The sequence below is a fragment of the Homo sapiens genome, chromosome 9 (genome assembly GCF_000001405.40).
Source record: "Homo sapiens chromosome 9, GRCh38.p14 Primary Assembly".
Classification (NCBI taxonomy): Eukaryota; Metazoa; Chordata; class Mammalia; order Primates; family Hominidae; genus Homo; species Homo sapiens.
Window position 1 is genome coordinate 117997349 of NC_000009.12, and position 27705 is coordinate 118025053.

The 27705-nt window shown below is 37.6% G+C and overlaps 1 long non-coding RNA gene across 1 annotated transcript; it reads right to left on the bottom strand.

Moving 5' to 3' along the window:
• Window positions 1–299: 299 nt before the first annotated feature.
• Window positions 300–27005, bottom strand: LOC105376246 (uncharacterized). The gene is made up of 3 exons (XR_930291.1): window positions 26824–27005; window positions 1407–1510; window positions 300–485 (listed from the first exon to the last, which is right to left on the bottom strand). It is a non-coding gene; the product is annotated as an uncharacterized LOC105376246 (long non-coding RNA).
• Window positions 27006–27705: the final 700 nt, after the last annotated feature.

Below are 27705 nucleotides of genomic sequence, written 5' to 3' on the forward strand. Positions count from 1 at the left end.
CACCTCCCAGGTTCAAGTGATTCTCCTGCCTCAGCCTCCTGAATAGTGGGGACTACAGACACCTGCCATCACACTCAGCTAATTTTTCTATTTTTAGTAGAGACAGGGTTTCACCATGTTGGCCAGGGTGGTCTAGATCTCTTGACCATGCGATCCACCCTCCTCGGCCTCCCAAAATGCTGAAATTACAGGCATGAGCCATAGCACCCCATCTGTCTCTCTTTTTTTTTTTTTTTTTGAGTTGGAGTCTTGCTATGTTGCCTAGGTGCAGTGCAGTGGCACAATCCTGGCTCACTGTAGCCTCTAAACCCTGGGCTCAAGTGATCCTTCTTCCTCAGCCTTTGGAGTCCCTGGATAACCAGCACTTATTTGACTTTCTATTCTAATGGTTAAGCCCTAAATGAAAAGCCGATATTGGTGCAAATGCTTTTGAGATCATTTATTTAGTTTGTCTTGAATACTCACAATGGGTAAAATTCTGAGACCTGTGTTATGAATAAGATAATGATCAAAATTACATATGATTATTTTATGTAAGGCATCAGAAGTCAACACAGATTAACTTTAAAAAGTGGAGATTTTGAAATAATATGAGTATCTCATTAAGTCCAAACAGTTGAATGACTAAGACTCGGAAAAAGTGGAGAGCAGGGAAGTTCAGGAGACCTAGAGGAAAAGAGAACAATTTTCTCTCTATGATACTACAATCAATATGGATCATCTGTCTCTCCTTTTGAGATTGCAACTTTCCAGAAGAGAGAATCTGACTGTTCCAATCAAGTCAGCTTTTCACTCCAGGATAAAACTGCTATGGCCAGAGGTGAGCTAACAGTACACATATGGCAGTTGGCTCTCATACCCAGGAGTTCCCAGAGATTAAAAATCATTATGTCCTAGGCCACCCTTCCATAAAGAGGTCTAATTCAATAAAACACAGCACCTGCCTTTAATGGGCATGCTGTCCAATTGGGCTGTTGAATATATAAAAAGAACTGTAGTAAAAACCAGGGGTTCATATGAAACCATAGAAGCAGAGGAAAATGGCTAAGTCAGCTCCAAAGGTAGAAGAAGCTTTTTGGTAAGGAAATCAGGATTTTCATACACTGTTGTTCTCTCAAATTTTCCCATTACTTTGAATGCCTGGAATTTAGGTAAATGGTGTTTTCAACTGTTCTCCAATTTTACTAAAAAAAAAAGAAGCAAAATTATTCTACATGTGTAACATTTGAGAAAGCAGGCATAATGAAACAATCCAAATTTGCAAAGGCCATGTTTCTAAACTAAACCTATTTTGAGTGGAATACTTCTTATCTATCCCTCTAGAGCAATGCAAGAAAAAAATAAAAATAAAAACTATGTCACATAAGTAAGACTGTAAAGGAATGGGAAGAATGGGAAGAACTTACCCTATTTAGCAGAAAATGGGATTGTGACACAAATGCAGTAGGTGGTGGACCCAAAGCACTTCTGAAGCACAATCTGGATATCATTCTTGTTGAACCACGAGGACCTGTGAGTAGTCAATATTAGAGATGTGGCTTCAGACTCCGACTTAAAATAAGGTGAATGGTTCAAGAATAAGGGATATGCCACTCGTGATCAAATAGCGAAAATTACGAGAGCATGAGTATGTAAGTGGAGCTCCAAGTCTGGACATAAAGCATACCCTTCCATTCTGACTCATAAAATGAAAGTTCTGGAAGAACTAGGATCATTACAATATCTTACTACCACTGTGGTTTCACTTCCATCTTTAATCCAACCTTCACATTGTGAAGAACTTGCTTCTCTTCTCAATCTTCCATTGTGTTGACAGTGCTAATTAAATAGTCTAAATTGCTTAGACAATTTTAAGAATTCCAGTAACTTGGTTCCTAAATATTTTTTGGTCTCCTTCCCACTATATTTCTCTATGAATACTATATTTTTGCCACATTTTGCATTTTTACACACTTTTATGTTGCTCATGTTGATCTCATGGATGGAAATATTATTTTATCATGTTTTAGAATATCATTTGAATGTTTCATCAAGAAACTCCTTGATTAATTGCAATCTATGTGTGCCAACTTGCTTTCTTAATTTTGGACTTTTCTATATTTGATTAATTTTGTTTCTGGACCTTCAATGAACCTTATGCTCCCTGAGTAGGGACTGGGTATACTTCAGTGAAAAGAGAAAGACACTTAGATTGCATCGCAGATTTGCTATTACCTGGAGGGACAGCCTTGGAATAGACAATTTCTCTGAGCTCTGAGCTTTCTTCTACTTTTGTAAAGTGGGATAATAAAATCAGCCTCTCAGAGATATAGGCAAAATTGTACATACAATTGTGTATGGTTTTAAATAAACTGGCATGTAATTGTAACTACTGAATTTTTTTTTTTTTTTTTGAGACAGAGTCTCACTCTGTTGCCCAGGCTGGAGTACAGTGGCTCGATCTCGGCTCACTGCAACCTCCGCCTCCCGGGTTCACGCCATTCTCCTGCTTCAGCCTCCTGAGTAGCTGGGACTACAGGCGCCCCCCACCACACCCGGATAATTTTTCGTATTTTTAGTAGAGACGGGGTTTCACCGTGTTAGCCAGGATGGTCTCGATCTCCTGACCTCGTGATCTGCCCGCCTCGGCCTCCCAAAGTGCTGGGATTACAGGCGTGAGCCACAGCACCCGGCCCACTGAAAGTATTTTTTTAATTCTGATTTCTAGCTTGTGCAGGCTTCCTTTGGATAAAGAAGAGAAGAAACATACCAACTAACTTAAAAAAAAAAATACCTTCCAGAATCCTAGAGAGTTTAAGTAATAAAACTGTTAAAAGGGAAAAGATACAAATGAGCATCAAATGCAATAGGGCCAGTGATGTAAATTCCACCAGGAATATCTTCACCTCTAATTCCTGATTCTTTCTGCATTTTAGGATAATGCTCTCTACGTAACAGAAAATAAGGACACAGATATCCAGACTGTATCTTACAGTTTCTATCATAGAAGAAAGACTCAATCTCTGAGTTAAAAACAACCTTGAGAAGAACTTTGGCCTGACATGGGTCAAGTGCCCACTCTTGACTACCAATAACTTTGACCAGTGGAGTAGAAAAAGCAGAACATGGCACCCTCTTCTCTTGTTCTGTAGAATAGAGACACATTCTACTAGAATAGATTCCTTAGAAAATAACACTATAGATGTCCATCAAAATATCCATAGACTCATAGGGTCTCTTACATAGAAACCCAATGTATACTAGAAGTAAGCATAGCAAGGCAGATAAGGTATTTAATTTTTTGTGGGGGTTGCTTTTTAGAAAAGAAATTTTCAAAAAAAATAGAAGCCTTTGGACTTTCGTAACTGTGAAGATAGTTGCAGAGACTGTGGTCATACGCATCATCAGGAACTCTCCCTGAGAAAAGATTATTTAAGTGTTTAATTGCACCCAGAGGACTTCTGCCTAACCATCTCTCTGGATGAGTCATTCCTCAGAGTGCTTTGGCTACCCAAAATCCTCGGCTAGGCTGGCCAACATGAAGACTGAATTTGATACAGCTTTTTCTTCAATATGTAGTCAATGTGATTTGAGTTAAATTGCCAACATTATTGACACTTGCTATAGGCCCCCACCATTGACCCTTCCTTAATCACAATTGAAGTATAGTTCTGATGGGAGTAACTAAATCATGGTGGTGTAATAAATAAATGTACAGTTGGGTTCTAGCTCTAGCTTTTTAATTGACCAGTTATGCGGTTGAGGCTATTTTTTTAATCTCTCCAAAATTAAGAGTTCAATTTATAGAATATTTTGGATGAGTCTAAAGCCTCTTCTTGTTCATCATTGAAGGAATCTATGGCCTCTTGATGTCCCTGTTTGGTTTCTGGACTTTATAGTCTTGCAGGGAAAAGTTATGTGTACACATATTTAAAATATTCTCTATATTCCAAAAGCTGTGAGGCTGGAAATACAGATAACTAAGAGCAGTTTTCATTATAGATAGCCTCTCCATTTTTCTTTTCTACCTCTCCTTAACATCTGGCTTCATTCAGTGGCATGAGAGAAACAGCTAGATTAAAAGGAAAATAAAACCAAAACCAAAAACACAACCTACCTCTACCGAATGCAATCAATGGACACGAGCTATTCCTGGAGTTGAACACCTGCTCCATTTCTTTTCATCTGTATTTTCTCCATCTGTTCTAATTATGTCCCTTTCTTGGGAGTAAGAGAACTGCTACTGTCTGGTGCCATGTAAGGGTGAGAAAGGTTAATTAACACTGAAGACAGATCCCAATTGCCCCTGCATCACACCCCTGTCCATATGCATTAGACTGTGAAGGGGTGCCCACCTTTCCCATGACCTGGTGCTGCTCATGAATTTGTGTCTGCTCCTCTTAGTCTCTTACATGGCTCCCTTCTTTCCTGAGCTGTCTCCAGAGCATTGAATCCAAAGGCACTCATCCATGCTAAAGTGGCAAAATGCCTTAGTCATATGGAGGGGGTATGTCCTAGAGAGTAGAAAAAAGCATATAGAACTGCCTTCTGCAGCACTCTTAGATCCAACCAGCAGTAAGAGCTGTGACCCAAGTGAGTTAAGAGTTAAGTTCATTTATTCACACAGTGGCTTGAAGAGTTAGGCAATGCTATGATCACTTTGCAGAATGAGAGTAAGAGACTTGAGATAAAGTAGTTTACTAATCGTCACACAAGTAGCAAGATAAACACATATATACATACTTTTGTGTATAAACACATGTTATATACATGTATGTATATAATGTATGTATATATATGTTTGTCTTGCTACTTGTGTAGCAATATCTCTCTCTCTCTCACACACACACACACACACACACACACACAAACACATACACATATTTGTTTAATGCTTAAAAATGCCTTCACCCTAAATTTGAAAGCAGGGACTTTACTGTAGTTCACCACTGAATTCATAGCACCTCGCAGGTTCATGATTAACAATTATTCAGTAAATGACTTCAATAAAGACAAATTATTGTCTGTGTTTATTGATATGAAATCATATTTATTGAGTACAAACACTGCACTGTAAGGTAAAGTGAGCATTACTGGAAAAGTAGAAGGCATTGCTAAAGGATTTTAAAGTAGATTTAAGAAGGTAGCACAAATGAAAATTTAATGTTCAAATATTCTTTCATTTATTTCTCAAATATATATTCAATATCTACTCTATGTGAGGAAATGTACTTGTTGCTTGATCTGAAATAATAAACTCATGTTTTTAAATCCACAAATGTAGCCTGCAGACATATACAACTAAAGAGGATAGTATGCTATCAACAGACAAATGATGAAGAAAAATAGGTAAGTAGAGCTACAGAAATAGAGAATAGATAGGTACCTTTGAATCCATTGGCTCTCTAAGTCAAAAAAGGCAGCCTGGAGAAAGTGGTGTTTAAGGACACATAGATGTCACAGAGGCAATGAAAGTTAGGGGTGCCAATCATTTCAGTAAGAAAAAACAGCATGTGCCCAGAAATGAAAAAAATAATAATATATATTATTTAGTATAGGTAGAGGGTAGAGTTTGAGGTGAGAAATCCTAAGATATAAAGATAGGCAGATAAGTTTTGACCCTTCCAGATTTGATATTCAAATGTGGTCCTAGAACAAGCAGCATCAGCATCACCTGGAAGGTCAGCAAGTGAGAAACTTAAGGCACATCATTTAAGGAGACACGCCCTCTTAGATTCATGCAAGCATAGGATTGGCACTAGTACTGCCCTGACAGTGAGTATCTCTTTAAATTTTTCATCTGGGGATGTCTCACTTAGCTTACCCTAGTCCTGGGCCTGCACCCCAGGCCCAATGAATCAGAAGCTATATTTTAACAAGATGCCCAAGTGATGTGCATGCACATTACATTTGGCAGGAACTGCTCTCAAGAGTTTGTAAACCATGCTTGAGTTTACAGATTGTCCTGGGAACAATGGCTATTATGTTTCAGGATTTAAGCAGGTGGAGGTTCCTGTTTCATTTATAAAGGTTTATCTGTGGCAGTGTGGATAGCATGCTAGAGCAGGCCATGTCAGGAGTTAGAGAAGCGGATTAGGAGGCTGTAATACTGATCCAGGACTGAAGGGGAAGTCAGTTTGTGGGGTGTTTGACCACATTTAGTGAGTGGTTGAAGTGTGACGTAACAATGAAGGAAAAATCAAGAACACCCGGTTCATGGCTACAGTAACAAGTGGTTGGGAGTACCACTCACTGAGGTAGGGAAAAAGAAAATAAGACAGGAAAGGAGAGAAGGTGATGAGTTAACATCTGGAAATGTTAAATTTGATAAATTTTAGATTATCCAGCATGATGTATGGGTGTCCAGCTCATGAAGAGAGATGAGACACAAGTATGGATCTCAAACCTGTCACCCCTAAATGGAAATTAAGGCTGTTGAAAGAGAGAAAATGTTTAGAGAGAATCTAGAGAATAAGAGAGGTTAAAGATGTTTTAGAATGTGAAATACAAACCATTAGGTAATAACTAAATAATTATTTTCATTTTGGAAACTATTTTCACACCCAATATATCATTTGAACAACATAAGCTTTTGGGGGAATAGCCAAGGCATTATTATTATTCTCATTTCACAGATTCTAGGGCTTGTAATTTTTAGGTTGTTTTGGCTAGCAAATTATCCAGTTGAATACACCTAGAGCAGTTTCAATTGTATTGCAAGGCATTCAATTAAAAGAGAAACCGAGTGGAATGTACTGTAGGTTTAATAGAAATAGAGAGAAATGATATATACCACAGTGGTCAGAAAAACATTCGTGGAAAAAGTGCCCATTATTTCCCCAACTGATATGGGTCTCTTGGGATCTCAAAAGCTAGATATTGGCATTTACACAAAATTTACACAAAATACCAACATCTAGCTTTTGAGTTGATATTTATGGTTTCATACTTTAACAATTAGTATTATGACTAAACATTTGAGAGTCCCAGATAATTATTGATAAAGAAAAATAAGTGCTTCACTGTCTACTCAGTATAATTGACAATTTAAAATGACCCAGGCAAGATATTAAGAACTGGTTGCTTTTAAATCTTAAATGACAATATCTTGACAGAAACACTCCTTAATCGTCCTATCACTTCAGGCCAGACTAATTATGATGGTACAAACGTGTACTTTGATGGAGAATTGTGGCTAATAATTCTACCTATGTTAGGCAGTTTCTGGGACATGAAAAAAGATGTAATAACTGACTTATTATGTGATCCATGATTAAGAGAAAGCTTTTGACTCTATTAATCTCACTTCCAATTCTTAACCTTGGGTAACTCAGAATCAACTATAACAACATTCTCTGTTCTTATAAACAGTTTCCATTTTAGTCACAGAGAATTTACAAGCCACATCCTCATCCTTTCCAAGTGACCTAAGGTTCCGAGAAGCTTAAAAATCACTATTAACAATTATATGATTTGTTGTAATTTTTAAAGTACTCTAACCTGTAATATTTTCTTTGATAATCACTAAAGTCTTCTATGGAGGGCAAGACGGTAGAAAATAAAGTTTTAGAGGTTGATCTTTGCTCAGGTTAAAACATTCATTAATAGCAATAGTTTTAATATAAATAATTTATTATGAGCTTACTATATGCTAGGAATTGAGCCAAATGCTCTACAATCATTATTTTACTTAATTCTCACAATGAGCTAAGTATTATTATCCTGATTTTACAGATAATAAACTTAAACCTTGAACAAGTCAAGAAAGTTGTGCAAAGTTACAGAGAATATATAATGGAACTGGGCAATGATGCTGGTTCCAGCCTACCACGACACCTTCCTCTCTTGAGTAATTGAGTCTTCATTTGTCAAGTGCCCATTATAGCAAGGTTACCACTGGAGACACTGAAAATTTATATATCATTTTATAAATAATAGACAGAATATTAGAATATCAAAAATTAAATAACTCAGATTAAAAGATTATTTAAAATTTATACAAAATACCATTATGGCTTCCCTTTCCAACACATATAGTTCAACAGGGGTTTATAATGAGAAAATTCCAAAACAATAAAATAAGTATTGTAATAGAGACAGGAATCTAGGGGAACCTGGGACTCAGAGACTCCATTGCAGAAAAGGGGGACAATTAAGCCAAGTCTTGCCAAAGGTAGATAGGATTTTTTTCAGTCCACAGAGAGAGGAACCAATTCCAGGCAGAGGGGTCAACATATACAAAATATAAATTGTTGTTATAAAAGAATAATTCTGAGAAAAATAAAGAAACAATTTTGGATAGTTGCACCATGGTTGTAAGAGCAAAATGGAATGCTGATAGAGGAAATAAGTGAAAACGGATTATTGCACTTTCTTTAGTTGAGGAAATTGTTAGAGATACTAAGCCAGGAAATGAACATGGAAGCCTGTTTCCTAAAGAGCTAGTTGACTTCTCAGTGAGCAGGACTGGGTTCTAGAGAGGAGATGGCAAGGAAAGTAGTTTGCTGTCCAAGAGGGGATGAGAAGGGCCTGACGTAAGATCGTGGTTGTAGGAACAGAGTTGAGGTCACATGCTTTGAGTCTGAATGAATAGAAGTGCCTCAGTCTCAGTGTCAGTAATAGCAATATCTCAGCAGTGCCTTTTCACACTGAACTGCTTTTAAACAAAAAAACAAGCAAACCATTATTTTACAGATCTTCTTGCCATTGCATACGATGTTTCCCCTGCCTGGCATGGCCTTCCCTCTGCTTGTTTATCCTAATAAATCCTACTCATCCTTCAAGCTTCAGCTCAGATATTACCTCCTTTGTAATATATCTTCCTTCAACTTGGATACCAACTGGCTAACCTTCTTAGAGCAAGTCCCGATAAGTCTAATTTCTTTATTACTATGTTTCCAAATGTATTTTGTTTTTATAGATGTTTACCTGGATATTTAAGCTTTTCTTGATAGATCACCTAATTGGAATCAACTTCTCTTTCTGCCTAAGTCCTGTGACACTTCCTTTGTCAAAGGTGCTTATCATGGATTTAATAATTTCAAAGTTACTTGTTTCCATACCTTACCACGGCTGTTGTACAAATACCTAGAGAAGAAGATAAGTGTCTGATTTATTTTAAATTCACCACAAACCCAGCTCAATATTTGAAGCACAGATAAGTACACAATGTTGATTGAAAAATGAACTGTTGTTATTTATTTCCTGCCTGAGCTCAATACAGAACTTAATTCATGGTTAGGAACATCTGATATCCACTCCCATGACACTTCTTAACTCCAATTACAAGACTCATCATTGAATATTGAAACTCACATCTAAAATCTGTTGATTCTATCATTATACCCACTGTACAGTTTACAATGTTTGAAACTCCACAAATATTTATCTAATTAAGGAATGGACAAATAATTCATTAATAATGTTATCTCACTATATATGATACATTTTGACTTCCAGATCTTTTCTTTATCCTCTGCACAAGAACATGTTTGTATCTTTGCATTATCTGCTCAGCAACTTTGGCTCTTTAGTGCACATTAAAAAAATGCAAAGAAACCCATGAGAGCTCTACCCAGTCAAAATGGACACTACAACATCCATTTTGGCCACTTTCTGAGCTATATTGTGAACTCTGAAAACACAATTTCCAAAGCTGGCATTTCCATGTTAATGGAGTCATCTCACAGGCGAATTGGGTCATACAGGCTAACAGTTTCCACACATAGGTTTGGAAGGGTGAGAGTCCTGGGCTTTTTACCATTTTCTTCCCAAATACATATACTGTGTTTAGAATGTCCAGTGAAATTCAATGGATATTGATTAGTAAAACTAAGAAAAAAGCTTTCTGCTGTCAATTTTTGCTAACTTGAAAATACAGTGCACTGTGGTCGTACTAACTGGGTTAAAACATATATTGGAATCAAATTTACTTGTTAAAAAATGGGAAAATTACTTTGAGTGAGGAAGTTTTAATAACAACCTAAACACAAATAAAATGCCTTATTTTTCTTCCTTATCCATGCCACCACATCGATTGCAAACTTCTGTTCTAATTCCACCATCTAAATAACTCTTACATGACACTTATTCCAACTGCTGCTATCCTGCTTCAGGGTCTCACCTGTTCCCCTACACTGTCAAAATGATGTCCTCATTCATCTCCTATGGACAGTGTCTCCCATGACCTGGCATGTGTTTCGATAGTCTCCCTACAACCTCCAGAATGGCAATTCTACTATTTGTATCCAATCAATCTGTGCACCTGCTCAATATTTGATAATGTCTCCCTTCAACTGTAGCATCAAATCTTGCATGTATGTGTTGGGAAGACAAGTATCTCAGGAACACCTCTTCACACCAAACTGCTTTCAAACAAATAAACAAACAAACAATTATTTTACAGATCTTCTTGCCATTATGTATAATGTTCCCCCTGCCTGGCATGGCCTTCTCTCTGCTTGCTTACCCTTACCCTACTCACCCTACAAGCCTCAGCTCAGATATCACATCTTTTGTAATGTTTTCCTGCATTACCTCACATAACGAGAGACGTAAATACAATTTCAGTTTTATGAACCAGTGATGGTAAAACATTGCGTGCATCTTTATATCTCCACTTAGGTGCTCAGGTATTAGAGTGGAAGAGACCCTTTCTTTTCAATTCTTTGTCCTCTGTCCTCAAATGCAAGCGTGAGCTCAGCACAGAAACCCTGTACCTATTTGCAGAATGATTCTATTCACATCCCTAGGCTAAGAATGCCTTACTTGAAGAAATGATCCCAGTTAGATGCTCCTGTGCCAATCGTCTCCATCTCTAATACGACAAGCCCTGAACATCCATTATTCTATGATTCCATGGTGGCTCCCATATTTCAGCTGATACAAAGTCAACCTTCATAGAGATGGCACCTCTGCTCTGATTTGAGCACCAAGAAGCCATAAAGAAGAATTAGTCAGCTTAGGAAGATAATTGATAGGTGTCAAGTGTCCCTTTGTATAAAAACACTTTTGCTTCTAGACTGATTGCCTGAGGGCTCAAGAGACTCCTAGGAGACAGGCTGGATGCCTTTTTCTTACATCCTCTGAAAATCTGCATTTTTCTCCAAAATTAAGGTACCAAGGACAAGCTTTGAGTGAAGTGATGGCCTCAGGGCTAGTGTATTTAATGAGAAATCTTCTTTTCAAGGGTTGTCTGCTGATACCTTGCGCTAAGCACGCTGGCCTTGAAGTGATGGGATTGCGGTGTACCCACTTAAATTAAAAAAAAAAACGATTTACAAAGACTTATTAGTTTTACAGATTTTTGACAACTTGATTTGCTCCCCTTAATTAGTTAATGGTTAGTTCAGGCTGTGACAGCCTCCAGCAAGGCTTATAGCTTATATTTAAGGCTTATAGCCCTGAAACATAGGCTCTAAGCAGAGAGTGGCTGGGGCAGAAACATAAACAGGGAGTAATGTGTGTTATCTAGAATGAAAGTCTCCTCCCTTCTCCGTCTATCAAACAAAAAACTGTAGAATGTATTTGTTTTTCCTACAGATCGGGAAACTGACACTCTAAAAATAAAGAATTGGAAGTGGCTTGCTCAAATTCATGAGTGGTGTTTATTGCAGAGTTAGGATGAGAATGAAGGTTTTTGATTCACAGTCCAGAGTCCATTTCACACAACACTATGCTGCCTCTTGCAAAAGTCATTTGTTAAAAAACAAGGGGATAAAATGCCAGTTTGAAGCCTAACAGAATATTGGGGGGGCAGGGGGAGGAAAGACTGAAGGAGCAGCCAAACTTGTTGATTAGTATTGTTTAATGCAACTACACACCCATGTATACCATCCCAGCCCACTCATCACCGTTTTCCTTTCATGCAGACCTCATAGCCAAAGAATCAATACATCATTAGCCTGCAGGATGTTGTTTTCTGAGTATTAGGCAAACTCCTGGGAACATTATCTGAGTCATAATGATAGGGGTTGGGCTGTAATAAAAGTTTTGAATTATGCCACATTAAGAATTGTCCCCCATGAAGATAGCAAGCTGATCAAATATTCCCTTGTGTGGCTTCAGATACAACCATCAAATATTTAGCATGGATTTTGGCTAATGCGCTTCATTTATCCCTAAGATATTCTTCTAAAGCAAAGAGCTGGTATTACTACCCTTTAAGAGATTAGGAGAGAGAGCCTTGGAGAGATTAGTTGGACAAGACATGCATCCTGGAATAGCCAAATCAGTCCCTTAGATCCCTTTACTACAATAGCCACTCCCTGCTTCCTTTGGTTCCAAAAACTGGTAGGATTTTTAATAATTCTTTCCACAGACTATCTCCAGCTGCTCTATACCCAGCCAGAGAGCTCATGACCACTAGCTGGCATTAAACCTCATCATTCTCTCCCCTCCACTACCATTCCTGAGTTCACTACTTCCCAAGCCTCAGAAGTACCCTCTCACTCAGCCTCCCCTGGTCCTTACCTCCTTCCTCTCCTTCTCCCTGAATGACTCATTTTGTTTACTGAGCTGAGAAGCTAATAGAAGGCAGCAGAATTTAAGCTTCCCTGGGACTTGCTTTACAGGCTGACAAAATCATTCTTTTCTCTCTGTGTTAAATATTCATGGCTCTCAGATTTTTAGATACAAAGGTACATTTTGTTTTAAAATGTGCTGATCCAAGACATACTGGTTTGCATTGATTTCTTCCGCTTTGCATTTCTATTGCATTGGAAATAAAGAGGTCCTCATTCACTTCTGAAATATGGACCTGAATTTATCTTTGGTTTCCTTTTTAATTTGGTTGCTATTTGATGAAAGGGTTGATGTTCTTAGACATTTTGTGTGTTTATCTGTTTTTCTCTTTTGAAATTGCATACATACACATACGCAATCACACACGCATACAGAGATAGAAAAATCACATCATCTTTTCTATGTACCTCAGCCTAATGTTAATATAATTTGAAAGGGATTTCAACAAAGGCTTGATCTATTACAGATTCAAGTATTCGCACTTTGGTGAGAAAATAAAATAGAGATAGATTTACAGAGATAAAAAAGAGACTACGTAGCCCAGGACAATTCAGAGACTATAGCACACGAAATGGGAGCAAAAAACTCTCCATTTTAAAAGATGAGTGAGAGGAATGCCATGCCTAAGAACTGTGGCAAGAGAATAAATGCGATTGGGTGGGAGGAAGGATTAAAAATCCTGATTAAGGCAGGTCATTTGACAAAGTCTTAAAGTGTATGATGTAAACGCACAAAAGCATAAGGCTTTCGGATTCTGGAAGCTACTAGGGGATTTTTTTTTTTCTCAAGTTGGTCTTACATAAACTACCATATGATATTAAAAGAAAAAACAACCTGCTGATAAGGAAAAGCTGAATAGATTCTTATAGTAAGGGAATATATCATCTGGGCAGACTCAGTAAATTTTTGGAGAAAGATAAAATTAGAATATTTACAAAATTTAGGGGTCTTTCAATGAAGTGGTTTGATTAGGACTGGGTAAGAATTCAGATATAATTGTTTAGAATTGGTGAATACTTTAGTTGGAAGAATCTTTTGGGGCAAGCTATCATTTGATGCTATAGAGGCATTTAACTAGTTGGTGTTTATTTAAGTGATCTTCTTGTGAAGATCCTGGAATGAACAAGAAAATCATTTTCAAAATTTATTTTCCTAGGCAACAGTTTCTTAGAATTGTAAAGTCATGCAGATGAAAGCAATGGATTACTAAAGTGATGTTTAATGTAGACAGTAAATTGTGTGGGTGTCGATGATTTGGGATCTTAAATTTAGACTCTCATAATTAAGAAACACCTATGAGTTTATATAGTCTAGTCTCAACTCCATTTTTTAATTCTCTTATGACATGCCACTCAAATGCTCATTCAGCCTCTTGAAAATGAAAACCAATGCAAAGTTCTAAAGTCTCTGGCAGCAGACACTGGTAGGTATCTACTGGAATTTTTCAAAATTAAGGTCATTCAGGTACTCTCTGGGTCTCCACTTCTCTTTCCTTTTTGTTAGTTAGCTCACTAAAGACTAGCTTCATTGTCATTTCTCTCTTTTCTCATAACATTTGCTTATTTATTGCATTAAAATCTCATCACATGACTTTCTCAGATTGTTTTTCAAAGCCCTCCTCACTCTACCTCATAGTCTCTATGAACACTTCCATTTTTTCTTCCCCAAAGCTATCAACATAATTCTCTAATGTTAGCTGATCCAAATATGTTAGAGAAAGAGATCTAACTGGTCCAGCTTATGGTTTATACAAGATCATTTCATGGGTTGCTGACCAGATTGTGCCTGGGCTGTCTTGGGGAACAGGTGCCCGACTCTGATCAATTAAGTGTAGCAGGGATGAGAACAGTATGGAATCTTCTCAAAAAGAGTATTCTAAGGTTATTTCTATGACAAATATTATGGACAGAAAATTTTTATAACTTTTTGTAAGAAAACAATAAAGATGTCAACATCATAGTAAACGTTTACATCAGAGAAAATTACCTACTTTGACCATCCTGGACATTGGTATTGGAAAGCATTATGTTTTCAAAGATGCCAATATTGCTTGAGATGAAATATTCTTAATATGAAGTCTAAGAACATGAGTACACATCAAGAGCCCATAAAGACAGTAAAATTACTTAGAGTATTACGTGTGCCACCATGAACAGCTTAGCAGTTACAAGTGGATGCACTATCTCTGAACACAATCTTTTTGTTTTCAAGTGAAATGTTTTTTAGTTTCTTCTCTTATTCTTTCAAATATATTCTTTACCCTTAGATAATATCTTATTTGTATCATGTATGACATTTATAAAAATCAATTATAATTTTGAGTTATCTTAGTAATTTTTAAAAATTTATTTTTTAATTAACAAAAATTATGTACACTTTTTTTTGTACAACATCATATTTTGAAGTATGTATACACTGCAGAATGGCCAAATCAAGTTACCTAGCATATGAACTGGCTCACATATCATTTTTTTTTCTTTTGCGGTGAGAACATGTAAAATCTACTCTTAGTAATTTTCAAGAATATAGTACATTCCTATTAACTATAGTCACCATGTTGTACAACAGAGCTCTTGAATAGAGAGATCTGTAGATTCTTCCTATCTAACCAAAATTTTGTAATTTTTGACCAACATCTCCCCAGCTCCTGGTATTCACTATTCTACTCTTTGCTTCTGTGGGTCCAACTATTTTAGATTCCATATGTAAGTGAGATGCTGTGACACTTCTCTATTTGTGCCTGGCTTATTTCACTTAACTTAAGGTCCTCCAGGTTTATCCATGTTGTTGCAAATAGCAGGTTTTCTTTCTTTTTTTTTTTTTTAAAAAAAGGCAAAAAGGAATCCCTTTAAGTACATATGACACATGTTCTTTATCCATTCATCCATTGATGGACACTTAGATTGATCCCACATCTTGGCTATTGCAAATAATGGTACAATAACCATGGAAGTGCAGATATATTTCTTAGACAAACTGATTTCATATCCTTTGAATTTATACTCAAGAGAGGGATTACTGGATCATGTGGTGGTTCTATTTTTTAGTTTCTGAGGAATTTTTATACTGTTTTCCATAATGGCTATACTAATAGTGTACAAGTCTTCCCTTTTCTCCACTTCCTTGCCAACCCTTGTTATCTTTTGAGTTTTTGAAAAAAGTTTTTCAAACAAGTGTGAGATAGTAGCACATTATGGTTTTGGTTTGCATTTCGCTTAGGATTAGTGACGTTAAGCATTATTTCATGTACATTCCCTCTACACCTAGTTTATTGAGAGTTTTTATTATGAAATGATGTTGAATTTTGTCAAATGCTTTTTCTGCATCTATTAGGATGATTGTATGTTTTTTGTCCTTCATTCTATTAATGTGGTATATTACATTTACAGATTTGTGTATGTTGAGCCATCTTGCATTTCTGGGATAAATCCCACTTTATCATGGTGAAGCATCATTTTATTTATCTTTTAACTTTTATTTTAAGTTTAGGGGTACAAGTGCAGGTTTGTTGCATAGGCAACCTTGTGTTGTTGGGGTTCATTGTACAGATTATTTAGTCACCCAGATACTAAACCTAGTACACATTAGTTATTTTTCCTGATTCTTTCCCTCCTCCCACTCTCCACCCTCTGGAAGCCCCAGTGTGTGTTGTTTCCCTCTATGTATCCATGTGTTCTCATCATTTAGCTCCTATTTATAACTGAGAACATGTGGTATTTGGTTTTCTGTTCCTGCATTAGTTTGGTAAGGATAATAGCCTCCAGCTCCATCCATGTCCCTGCAAAGGACATGATCTCATTCTTGTTTATGGCTGCAGAGTATTCCCAAAGGCATATAAAGTATTCTATTAGAAAGATCCTTTTAATGTGTTGTTGAATTTGGTTTGCTAATATTTTATTGCAAATTTTTGCATCTATGCTTATCAGGAATATTGGCCTGTAATTTTCTTTTCTGGCAGTGTTTTTGTCTGGCTTTAGTATCAGTGAAATGCTGGCCTCATAAAATGAGTTTGGAAGTATTTCCTTTTCTTCATTTTTTTCAGACTGTGAGAATAATTGTTGTTAGTTGTTTTTTGAGTGTTTGGTAAAATTCAGCAGTGAAGCTGTCATTTCCTGAGCCTTTTTATTTTTGATGAAAGACTTTACTATTGACTTTTTCTTCTTCCTTGTTATTGGTCTGTTCAGATTTTCTATTTCTTCATAATTCTGTCTTGACAGACTGCATGTATCTAGGAATTTATTCTTTTCTTCGAGGTTATCCAACTCATTGATATATAATTGCTCATAGTAATGTCTTCTGATGCCTTTTATTGCTGTGGTATCAGTTGTAATGTCTCCTCTTTCTTTCTGATTTTATTTATTTTCATCTTCTCTTTATTTTCTTAGTCTAGTGAAAGGTTTGTAAATTTTGTTAATCTTAAATAAAACTCTTAGTTTTGTTGATCATTTTTATTTTTTTTTCTAGTCTCTATTTTGCCTACATCTACTCTGATACTAATTATTTTCTTTCTTCTACTAATGTTGGGGTTAGTTTGTTCTTCTTTCTCTACTCTCTTAAAGTATAATATTAGGTTGCTTACTTAAAATCTTTTCTCTATTTTGATGTACGCATTTATGTTATAAATGTTCCTCTTAGAACTCCTTTTGTTGCATCCCTTAAATTTTGTTATGTTGTTTGTCCATTTTTGTTTGTCTCAATTCCCACATATTTGTGAGTCTTCCAAGATTTCTTCTGTCACTGATTTCTAGCTTTATACCATTGTGGTCAGAAAAGACACTTGACATGATTTCAATCTTCTTAAATTTGTTAAAACTTTTCTGTGGCCTAACATATAATCTATCCTAGAGAAGTTCTGTGTGCTCTTGAGAAGAATGTATATTCTGCTTTTTTGTGTGGAATATTCTGTATGTGTCTGTTAGGTCCATTTGGTTTAGTGTAGTTTAAATCCAAAGTTTCATTATTGATTTCTGTCTGGATAACCTGTCCATGCCCAAAGTGGAGTACTGAAGTCCCTGGTATTATTATATTTCAGTCTGTCTTACTCTTCACCCAAGTCTATTTTATCTGATGTAAACGTAGCTGTCATTGCTCTCTTTTGATTTCCATCTGCATGGAATATTTTTTCCATTCCTTCACTTTCAGTCTATGTGTGTCCTTACAGGTAAAGTGAGGCTTTTGTAAGCAGCATATAGGCAGGTCTCGTTTTTATACTTTTAGTCATTCTGTATCTTTTGATTAAAAAAAAATCATTTATACTTAAGGTAATTATTGTTAGGTAATGACTACTGCCATTTTGTTAATTGCTTTCTGGTAGTTTTGTAGATTATATATTCCTTTCTTCTTCTCTTTCTGCCTTTCTTGGTAATTAGGTGATTTTTTTCTAATGTATACTTGGTTCTTTTTATTATTTTGGTATCTACTATTTTTTTCTTTATGAGTTACATAAGACATCTTATGGTCATAATAGGATATTCTGAGCTGATAACAACTAACTTTGATCTCATTAAAAAAAACTCAACATCTCCTCACATTTTGTGTTTTTGATGCCATGACTTACATCTCTTTGAATAGCATATTCCTTAAGAAATTATTGTAACTATTATTATTTTTAGCAGTTTTTTCTTTTAACCTTCATAATAAAGATTTAAGTGATTTATATACCACTATTTCAATATTAAAGCATTCTGAATTTGACTGTGTACATACTTTCATCAATGAATTTTATACTTTTCGTTTCTCTGTTGCTACCTAGCATATGTTTCCTTCATCTTTAAGGACTGCCTTTAGTATTTCTTGTGAGACAGGTCTTTCTGGTGGTGATGAACTCCCTCACTTTTGTTTGTGTTGGAAAGTCTATATCTCTCCTTCTCTGAAGGACAAATTCTGTGGGTAAAATAATCTTGATTGATGATTTGTTTTTTTCTCCAGCACTTTGCATATATCAACCCAATCTCTCCTGGCCTGTAAGATTTCTGCTGAGAGGTTTGTTTCTAGTGGTTCTGTAATTCTCATATATGTGATATTCTTCTTTTCCTTTGTGGCTTTCAGAATTCCATCTTTATCATTAATTTTCACAGTTTGATTATCACATGACTTGGTGTAGTCCTGTTTGGATTGGATCTAATTAGATATCTTTAACCTTTACATACCTGAATATTTATATCTTTCTCCCAATTTAGAAAGTTTTCTTCTATTCTTTCTTTAAATATCACTGTTTCTCTCTTCTCCTTCATTAATTTCTATAAATCAAAAAGCCTTGCCCTTCTCATGCTTTCCCAAAAGTCCCATAATATTTATCCATTCTTTTTTATTCATTTAGATCTTTTCTCCTCCGATTGTACATATTCAAATAACCTGTCTTCAAGTTCTCAAATTATTTTTTCTGCTCAATCAATTCTGCTGTTGATGCTCTCTATTGCATTTTAAATTTTCTTCATGGTATATTTAGCTCCAGAATTTCTGTTTGATTTTTTAAAAATAATTTCAATATCTCTGGTATTTATTTTTTGTTTTGGTCATTTATTGTTTTTCTGATTTCATTGAATTTTTTTCTCTATGTTTTCTTGAAGTTTACTGAGCTTCCTTAAAACAATTATTTTAATTTTTTGTCAGGCAATTTGTAAATCTCCACTTATTTATGGTTGGTTACTGGTGCATTATTCCTTTGTTGGTGTCATGTTTTCCTGATCATTCTTGATTCTTGTGGCCATGTGTTGGTTTCTGTGTATTTAAAGAAGTATGGACTTATTCCAAACATTGCAGACTGGCTTTGTTTCAGAAAAACTTTCAACAGTGAGCCTGTCCAGAGAGATTCTAACAGTCCATCTGGCACGGTTCATGAATGGGTTTGCTTCTGAAGTTTCTAGGCAAGCTGGTCTGGTGTCAGGGTCAGCAGATGAGTGGGCCTGGTGCCTGGGATTTGCAGAGTTGGACCTGAAAGCTGGATAAGTAGTGCTAGACCTTTTGATTAGATCCATGGGGTCTCTACTGAAGCATGAATCCACAGAGGCTAACCTGATACTGGAATATCCCTTGAGCCTGAGTCTGAAGGAGCTAGCCGGGTGCTGTGATAAGCCTAGAGCCTAGGTCTACTGGGATGGGCCTGGAGCCTAAGTCTGCAGGGTTGTTCTTAGAGTCTTAGTCCACAGGGGTTGGCCAGTCACTAAGGTCGCCTGAGGTAAGCCTAGGCCCTGTATTTTTTGGATCAGGCCTGGCCCCTGGGTCCACTGGAACTTTGGGCCACTGGGACCTGACGGCAACCTGGGGATGGCCTGGTGCTAGGGAAGACATGAAGCCTGCACCCACAGGGGCTAGACTGTAGCCTGGGATGGCAGGTGCTGACATTATGCTTGGAGCCACAGAAACTTGCCTGGAGCCAAGGGCTATGGGGGCTTGCCTGGAAGCTGGGTGTGATGATGCTGACCAGAAGGCTAGGAACATGAGGGCTGGCCTGGGTCCTGGGGTTTTGGGGGCTGGCCTAGATGCTGGGTGCTGAGGGTCAGTCCTGGAGCCAAGGTTCAGGAGTCTCACCTGGTGCTAGGATCTATTGAGATAAGCCTGGACCCTGGGCAGGTCTGAACTCTAGGTCTGCTGGAGCATGTGGCTCCGGTATCTGGCCTGGAGAATGGAGCCAGGAACCAACCTTGTATTTGGCAGGCCTAAAGCCTGAGCCAGTGGGTTCTATCCTAGTGCCTGAGGCAAGGATTGCTAACTTAGTGCCAGGGTGGGCCTGAGCCTGGGGCTGTGTGTGTGCCTAGCTCTGGGCTTTTCTGAAACCTGGGGCAGGTCTGGAGCCTGGGGTCATAGAGGCTGACCAGCTACTGGGCAAACCTGAATTCTGCATGCACAGGGTCCATCCTGATGAGTGGATCTGTGAGTGCTAGCATGATGACTAGGGATGCAGAAACTAGCATGGTGCTGGGGCAGGCCTGAGCCCAGGGTTGCTGGGGCCAGCCCAGAGACCGAGTCTGTGGGGCAGGCCTAGAGCCTGAATCTGGCAGGGCTTACCTTGTGATGGGACTAGCCCTGTGCTGTAGCTGGTCCAGAGCCCAGGGCCGCTGGGGTTGGCCTGATGGTGAGGCAGGCCTGGAGACTGAATCCAATGAGCAGGCCTGGAACCTGGAGCAGTAGGGTCCAGACTGGTGCCAGGGCAGGCCTGGATACTCAGTCCATAGGTACTACCTTGAATTTTGTGGTTGTGGTAGCCTGCTCAGTGTTGGGTTTTATTGGTGCAGATCCAATGTTGGGGCCAAAGGAAAAGTCCAAAGCTCACTTTCTTCTCCTTCCCCAAGTTGAAGAGTGTCTCTTTACACGATGTACTGCCTGGAATTTTCAAAGGGGTGACTCAGTTGATATAAAACTGCCCGTCCTACTCTCTTTAATGCACCTTTTCTGATTTCTGTGCTATGCCCAGGTGCTAAAATCACTCACCTGGTTTCCTTTGCTCTTGTGAAGGTACTTTTGTGTGTTGATTGTTGTTCAAATTGATGTTTCTGAAGAGGGAACAGTGGAAAGTCCTATTCCATCATATTGCTCTTCATCAGTATGTTTTATATTTATGACCAATGGTTTTAAAATATTGCAGGCATTTTTTTCATGTGTCTTTTGGCTGCATAAATGTCTTCTTTTGAGGAGTGTCTGTTCATATCCTTTGCCCACGTGTTGATGGGATTGTTTTTTTCTTGTAAATTTGTTTGAGTTCTTTGTAGATTCTGGATATTAGCCCTTTGTCAGATGAGTAGATTGCAAAAATTTTCTCCCATTCTGTAGGTTGCCTGTTCACTCTGATGGTAGTTTCTTTTGCTGTGCAGAAGCTCTTTAGTTTAATTAGATCCCATTTGTCAATTTTGGCTTTTGTTGCCATTGCTTTTGGTGTTTTAGACATGAAGTCCTTGCCCATGCCTATGTCCTGAATGGTATTGCCTAGGTTTTCTTCTAGGGTTTTTATGGTTTTAGGTCTAACATTTAAGTCTTTAATCCATCTTGAATTAATTTTTGTACAAGGTATGAGGAAGGGATCCAGTTTCAGCTTTCTACATTTGGCTAGCCAGTTTTCCCAGCACCATTTATTAAATAGGGAATCCTTTCCCAATTTCTTGTTTTTGTCAGGTTTGTCAAAGATCAGATAGTTGTAAATGTGTGATACTTTTCTGAGGGCTCTGTTCTGTTCCATTGGTCTATATCTCTGTTTTGGTACCAGTACCATGCTGTTGTGGTTACTGCAGCCTTGTAGTATAGTTTGAAGTCAGATAGCGTGATGCCTCCAGCTTTGTTCTTTTGGCTTAGGATTGTCTTCACAATGCAGGCTCTTTTTTGTTTCCATATGAACTTTAAAGTAGTTTTTTCCAATTCTGTGAAGAAAGTCATTGGTAGCTTGATGGGGATGGCATTGAATCTATAAATTACCTTGGGCAGTATGGCCATTTTCACGATATTGATTCTTCCTATCCATGAGCATGGAATGTTCTTCCATTTGTTTGTATCCTCTTTTATTTCACTGAGCAGTGGTTTGTAGTTCTCCTTGAAGAGGTCCTTCACATCCCTTGTAAGTTGGATTCCCAGGTATTTTATTATCTTTGTAGCAATTGTGAATGGGAGTTCACTCATGATTTTACACTGTTGGTGGAACTGTAAACTAGTTCAACCATTGTGGAAGACAGTGTGGCTATTCCTCAATGATCTAGAACTAGAAATACCATTTGACCCAGCCATCCCATTACTGGGTATATACCCAAAGGATTATAAATCATGCTGCTATAAAGACACATGCACACGCATGTTTATTGTGGCACTACTCACAATAGCAAAGACTTGGAACCAACCCAAATGTCCAACAATGATATACTGGATTAAGAAAATGTGGCACATATACACCATGGAATACTATGCAGCCATAAGAAAATGATGAGTTCTTGTCCTTTGTAGGGACATGGATGAAGCTGGAAACCATCATTCTGAGCAAACTATCGCAAGGACAAAAAACCAAACACCGCATGTTCTCACTCAAAGGTGGGAATTGAACAATGAGAACACTTGGACGCAGGAAAGGGAACATCACACACCGGGGCCTGTTGTGGGGTGGTGGGAGTGGGGAGGGATAGTATTAGAAGATATACCTAATGTAAATGATGAGTTACTGGGTGCAGCACACCAACATGGCACATGTATACATATGTAACAAACCTGCACGTTGTGCATAGGTACCCTAGAACTTAAGGTATAATAAAATATATATATAAATATATATATATATATATTTATATATATATTGCAGGCAATTTTAGCAAAAATATCAGACTAAACCCCTAACAACAAAAGTTGCTGGAGTAGAAAGTACTATGTACCCATATAGCTCATTATATAGTAATTTTTATCTATGTTCCCCCATTAAAATTAAGTGCCGTATGTCAGGGAACTTTACTGTCTTCTTCACTACTTACAACTAGTTTATAGATACCTCTTGAATAGCAACAAAATAGAGTGTAAGAAATAAGATTGAGAAAAAAATTAATTAATTAATGCAAGGACAGTGGGGCTTCCTTAACCCCATAAGGTGACCTGAAACACTCGGTTAGCAAAGATATATAATGAGCTATACGGATATACAGTGCTTTCTACTCCAGCAACTTTTATTGTTAGGGGTTTAGTATTTTTTATTTTTTGCTAAAATTGCCTGTACTGTTGTAAAAACATTTGTCATTAATATATAACACACTGATGAAGAGTATAAATATTGATAATTCTCTATCTGCTGCCTGATTTCAGAAAATCCTCTCCTGAGAAGACATTACCTGCATGGTTCTCAAGTGGAGGTGAAACTTTACAAAACGATAAGAAAAGTAGAAGACACTTTATTGATAAAATATCCACATTCGAAAATAGTTGTGCTTTCAAATCCTGGATCTGCCATTTACTATCTGTGAGACTGAGACTGTGTGCAAATGGTTTAGCCATTTTGAACCTGTTTCCTCATCTGTAAAATGGGCATGATGATACCTACCTACCTTACAAAGTGGCTGAGATAGCTAAACACCATAAGGCAATGCTTGTTACATGGTAACAAATGATGACTTTCATTTTATTGGGTATTCTCATTTTATTGGGTATTTCATTTTATTGGGTATTCTTCCATTCTATTGGGTATTTAATCCTCGCCTCATTCATCATCACCAGAAACATTGAAAATATTGTCTTTCTTTTTACATGTGAAAAAAATTGAGTATCAGAGAGTTCAAGAAACTTGCCTAAATTATACATCATGAAAAATGAAAGGATCAGATTTGAACCCAGTCATTGATAGAAGTGGGGGGAAGAAAAAATGAGAAAATTTAAGGGGAAAGTATAAAATTCAGTGCTTCCGCAAGTTTCAATAAATAAAGATCATCTTGCTGCAGACAGTCAGTCCACCACTAAAACATCTCTAGATATGCATTTTGATAGAATTGCTGGATAATTCTGATAGTTGCTCATCATTCAGGACTTACTCCACAAGACATGATTTTAAATGATTAAGTGCTTTGCCCAATGTCTCATAGATGGTAAGTGGCTGAGGTGCAATTCAGCTCTAGAGTCATATTCATAACTACTACACTCTAGCAGCTTGTCTGAGACAGATGGTTTTGCACCACACCTTGGGAAACATCACGATAAATGACTACAGAATGTGGAGGCTCAGAGACTATGTCTGCTATCAGGAGTGTGGTACCAGGCAGAACCTTTCTAAATCACCAGGCAGAACCTTTCTAAAATTTACAAAATAGTTAGATGTAATCAATGAAGCCAAAAACATAAATTAATACCAGACACACCATGCCCAATAAATATTTGTTGAATAAATATGTTTTTATGAAACCAACAGCAAGTTTTTCATCTTAGATAAAATGTTCATTTAGCCACAGAATCTTTGAAGCTCAGAATTAGAATAAAGTCACTACGACCAATCCCTAGTTCCCTGTGAATTCCACAGTTTCTTGCACAATATTTCAGGCCTGTGGTCAGCCAGTTAAACAAACTGTAGTCTCTGGCTTGTAGTTAGGAAATAAGAGAAAAGACCAAAAACCTGACCTATAGAGAACTAAGAGAGCTTAAAACGCCAGAACCAAATAGACTCCTGATTCTAGGCAGGTATTTGATGGGTCAGAGAGAGAGAAATAAATACTGCAGTAATGATGGCTACAATCTCAGAAGTGATTCTCCAGCAGCAAAAAGATGTTTGTGGACATATGGGGCCAGTATGAACCTATTGATTTCTCTCATAATCTCTTTTTATTGCTCATCTTTTCCTGTTAGCTCATGCAGCCAGTGTCTCAGGGACTGCAGTTCCTCCTGGGCCTGCCAGCCTGATCGTTGTTGAGGAACCACGAAATATGAAGGTCCACGTCCCCTTTAATTGAACAAGTCCCAGTTAATAATGCACTAGAGATCCTGAGAGTTGGGGCATGCAGGAAGGAAGAGAGAAAGGCAAAATGAGAGAGAGAGAAAAAAGAAAGAATCCACAAATGTCTTCCTCATTGAGAAAGGGAAAAAGAAACTGAAAAAAAAAAAAGTCACTGTAACAAATTCAGTCCAGGCAACATTGGTAATAGATAAGACAGGAGACTACTCTTCATTTGGCTAGCAAATAAGCTTTTCTACTCTTCTGAGATAGAGATTCTCTGATCTCAGGGATTGCTGGAGAGATTGCTAATATTTACAGTCTACTTGATGTCCACTTGGTAGAAAAAGCAGTCTTATACTATAGTCATTAAGTTACAGAATTTGTTGCTAGATTTCTTATGAAATCCAGTCACCTCCCTTTCAGTCCAGAACTTCTTTTGCTATACCACACTAAGGTACTGATTTAAGATCAGTCCATACAATAAAAGAGCCATAATCTCCAGAGAATCTTTCTTGAGAGTTAAGCTTATTCCCAGCTTAAAATAAACAGAGAAATGTCAATCATAATTTATGATGGAAATATCAGATAGTTAAGTGGCATATAATGCCCCTTGTTAAAAATAAATAGGGCACAGCGGTGCAGACCTGTAATCCCAGCTACTCAAGGATTGCTTGAGCCCAGGAGTTCAAGGCCATCCTGGGCAACAACGCAAGACCCTGTTCCTAAAAAAATAAAATAAAAATGAATAAGCCAAAAGCAGTATTTATAAAATGTATTTATTCAGCTATTTAACAAATAGTGCACATTTATTCATTACATATATAAAAGAAGTGTTCTGGATGTGCAGAATTCAGTGATGACTAAAGTGAGCACATTTCCTGCCATTAATTAGTCAGCATTTAATCTAGCCAGGTAGAGAGTTTATGCAGACACATACAATACCAGGGCATAAGTGTTATGAAAGAGCAAGAATATCAAGTTTGTGGACCACAGAAAGGAATATCTCAGCCAAACATGGAGACAATTAAGGTTTTCTGGAGGCAGTGTTTCCTAAGTTATAACCATGAGTTAGTCAGACAAAGAGAGTGTGGAAAAGCATTCAAAGCACAAGGAACAACATAAACACAGACTATGGCATATTTAAGAAAGTACAAAATAAGACCAAATCATTCAAGTTGTAGTATATGATACTATGATAAAAACTTTGAGAGAAGTAGAGTAGTAGCCAGAGATGAGAACATGGAATTCCTTACAAGTCCTATACAGTATCATCTTTATAACAACAGAATTAAAGGACTCTTGCAGATTATTAGAGCTTAATTTTTGTATTGTGTGACACTCCCCCAAGTTGCTCAATGTTTCAGAACTTTTAGTTACTGTTTTGCATTCTGATTTGAACTCCTTCACTGAAATTTCTTCCTCTGTGTTTTAGGTTATCACAGAACGCACAAAACTGACATACTTCTTTATTCATACCTTAACATCTTCTATAAATCTGACTCCACTTTATTTCCCTGGTGGAACTTCTGTTACTCTTTCCCTGAGAAGTCAGGATGTGTTACCTTCCTGCCAATGTTGTATGACAATATGCTTGGAGGACTGCCAAAAACGGAAGCTCACTAAGGCTCCTTGTTCAGAATTTTGACTGGGACTGCATGATGTAGATAGGATTGACTGATTGATTGCCCATGTGGTTGATCTCAGTCTACAGGTTGACTGATAGTGCATGATCCAAAGCCCTCACCTCAGGTAACATTATTGGTTTTCCTGGCATGACTAGCCCCAGCCCTAAATTCTGGCCAGGCCTCACCCTAAATCGTATTGTTAGACCATTTAGTGTAACCCACAGCCACCATGCAAAGAAAGAAACTCTTTTTAGGCATGGCATTCTTAGAGATTACCTTCCAGAAGCTCAAGTTAAAGTGCTTCCTAAACATTTGACTTACCTTTATCTGTGAGAATGCCTCAGGACTGTTTCCCTCTTGAATGTGCAACTCTACCTATTTTGAATGGCAAACGCCCAGTTACAGAATCTTCAACTGCGCCGAAGGACAGCTAAAATACTGCCTGAAAGAACAATGGCCAAGGCCGGGCGCGGCGGCTCACGCCTGCGATCCCAGCACTTTGGGAGGCGGAGGCGGGCGGATCACGAGGTCAGGAGATAGAGACCATCCTGGTTAACATGGTGAAACCCCGTTTCTACTAAAAATACAAAAAATTAGCCGGGCGTGGTGGCGGGCGCCTGTAGTCCCAGCTACTCGAAGGCTGAGGCAGGAGAATGGCGTGAACCCGGGAGGCGGAGCTTGCAGTGAGCGGAGATCGCGCCACTGCATTCCAGCCTGGGCAACAGAGCGAGACACCGTCTCAAAAAAAAAAAAAAGAACAATGGCCAAGTATCAAACAATTAAGAAAGAACAATAAAATAGGGTAGATTTTGCCAATTCATAACATTTGGGAATTTGTAGAAGGAATAAATTTTGGTATGGTCCAGCAAAGAGGTAAAGATAGATTTGTTCGTTCATTAATTTATTCAGGAGATATTTAAAGGATAAATATTTTGTGACAGCAAACTACCCTAGGTGCTGCGATTTTGGCTACAAACAAGATAAACTTACATATAGATTCTATTCTAGAGGAGAAATACAGTCTAAGATTTAAATTGTCATCTAGGATGAAGTAAAAGTGTTTTAGTATTGTAGGGAGGTATTCTAGTGCCTAGTATACATTTCCTCTCCATCTGCAACCTATTCTACTTATTAAGGGAAGGACACAATCAAGTAATTTTATTGAATGTTAAATAATGTGATAGTTGACTATATTTAATAATG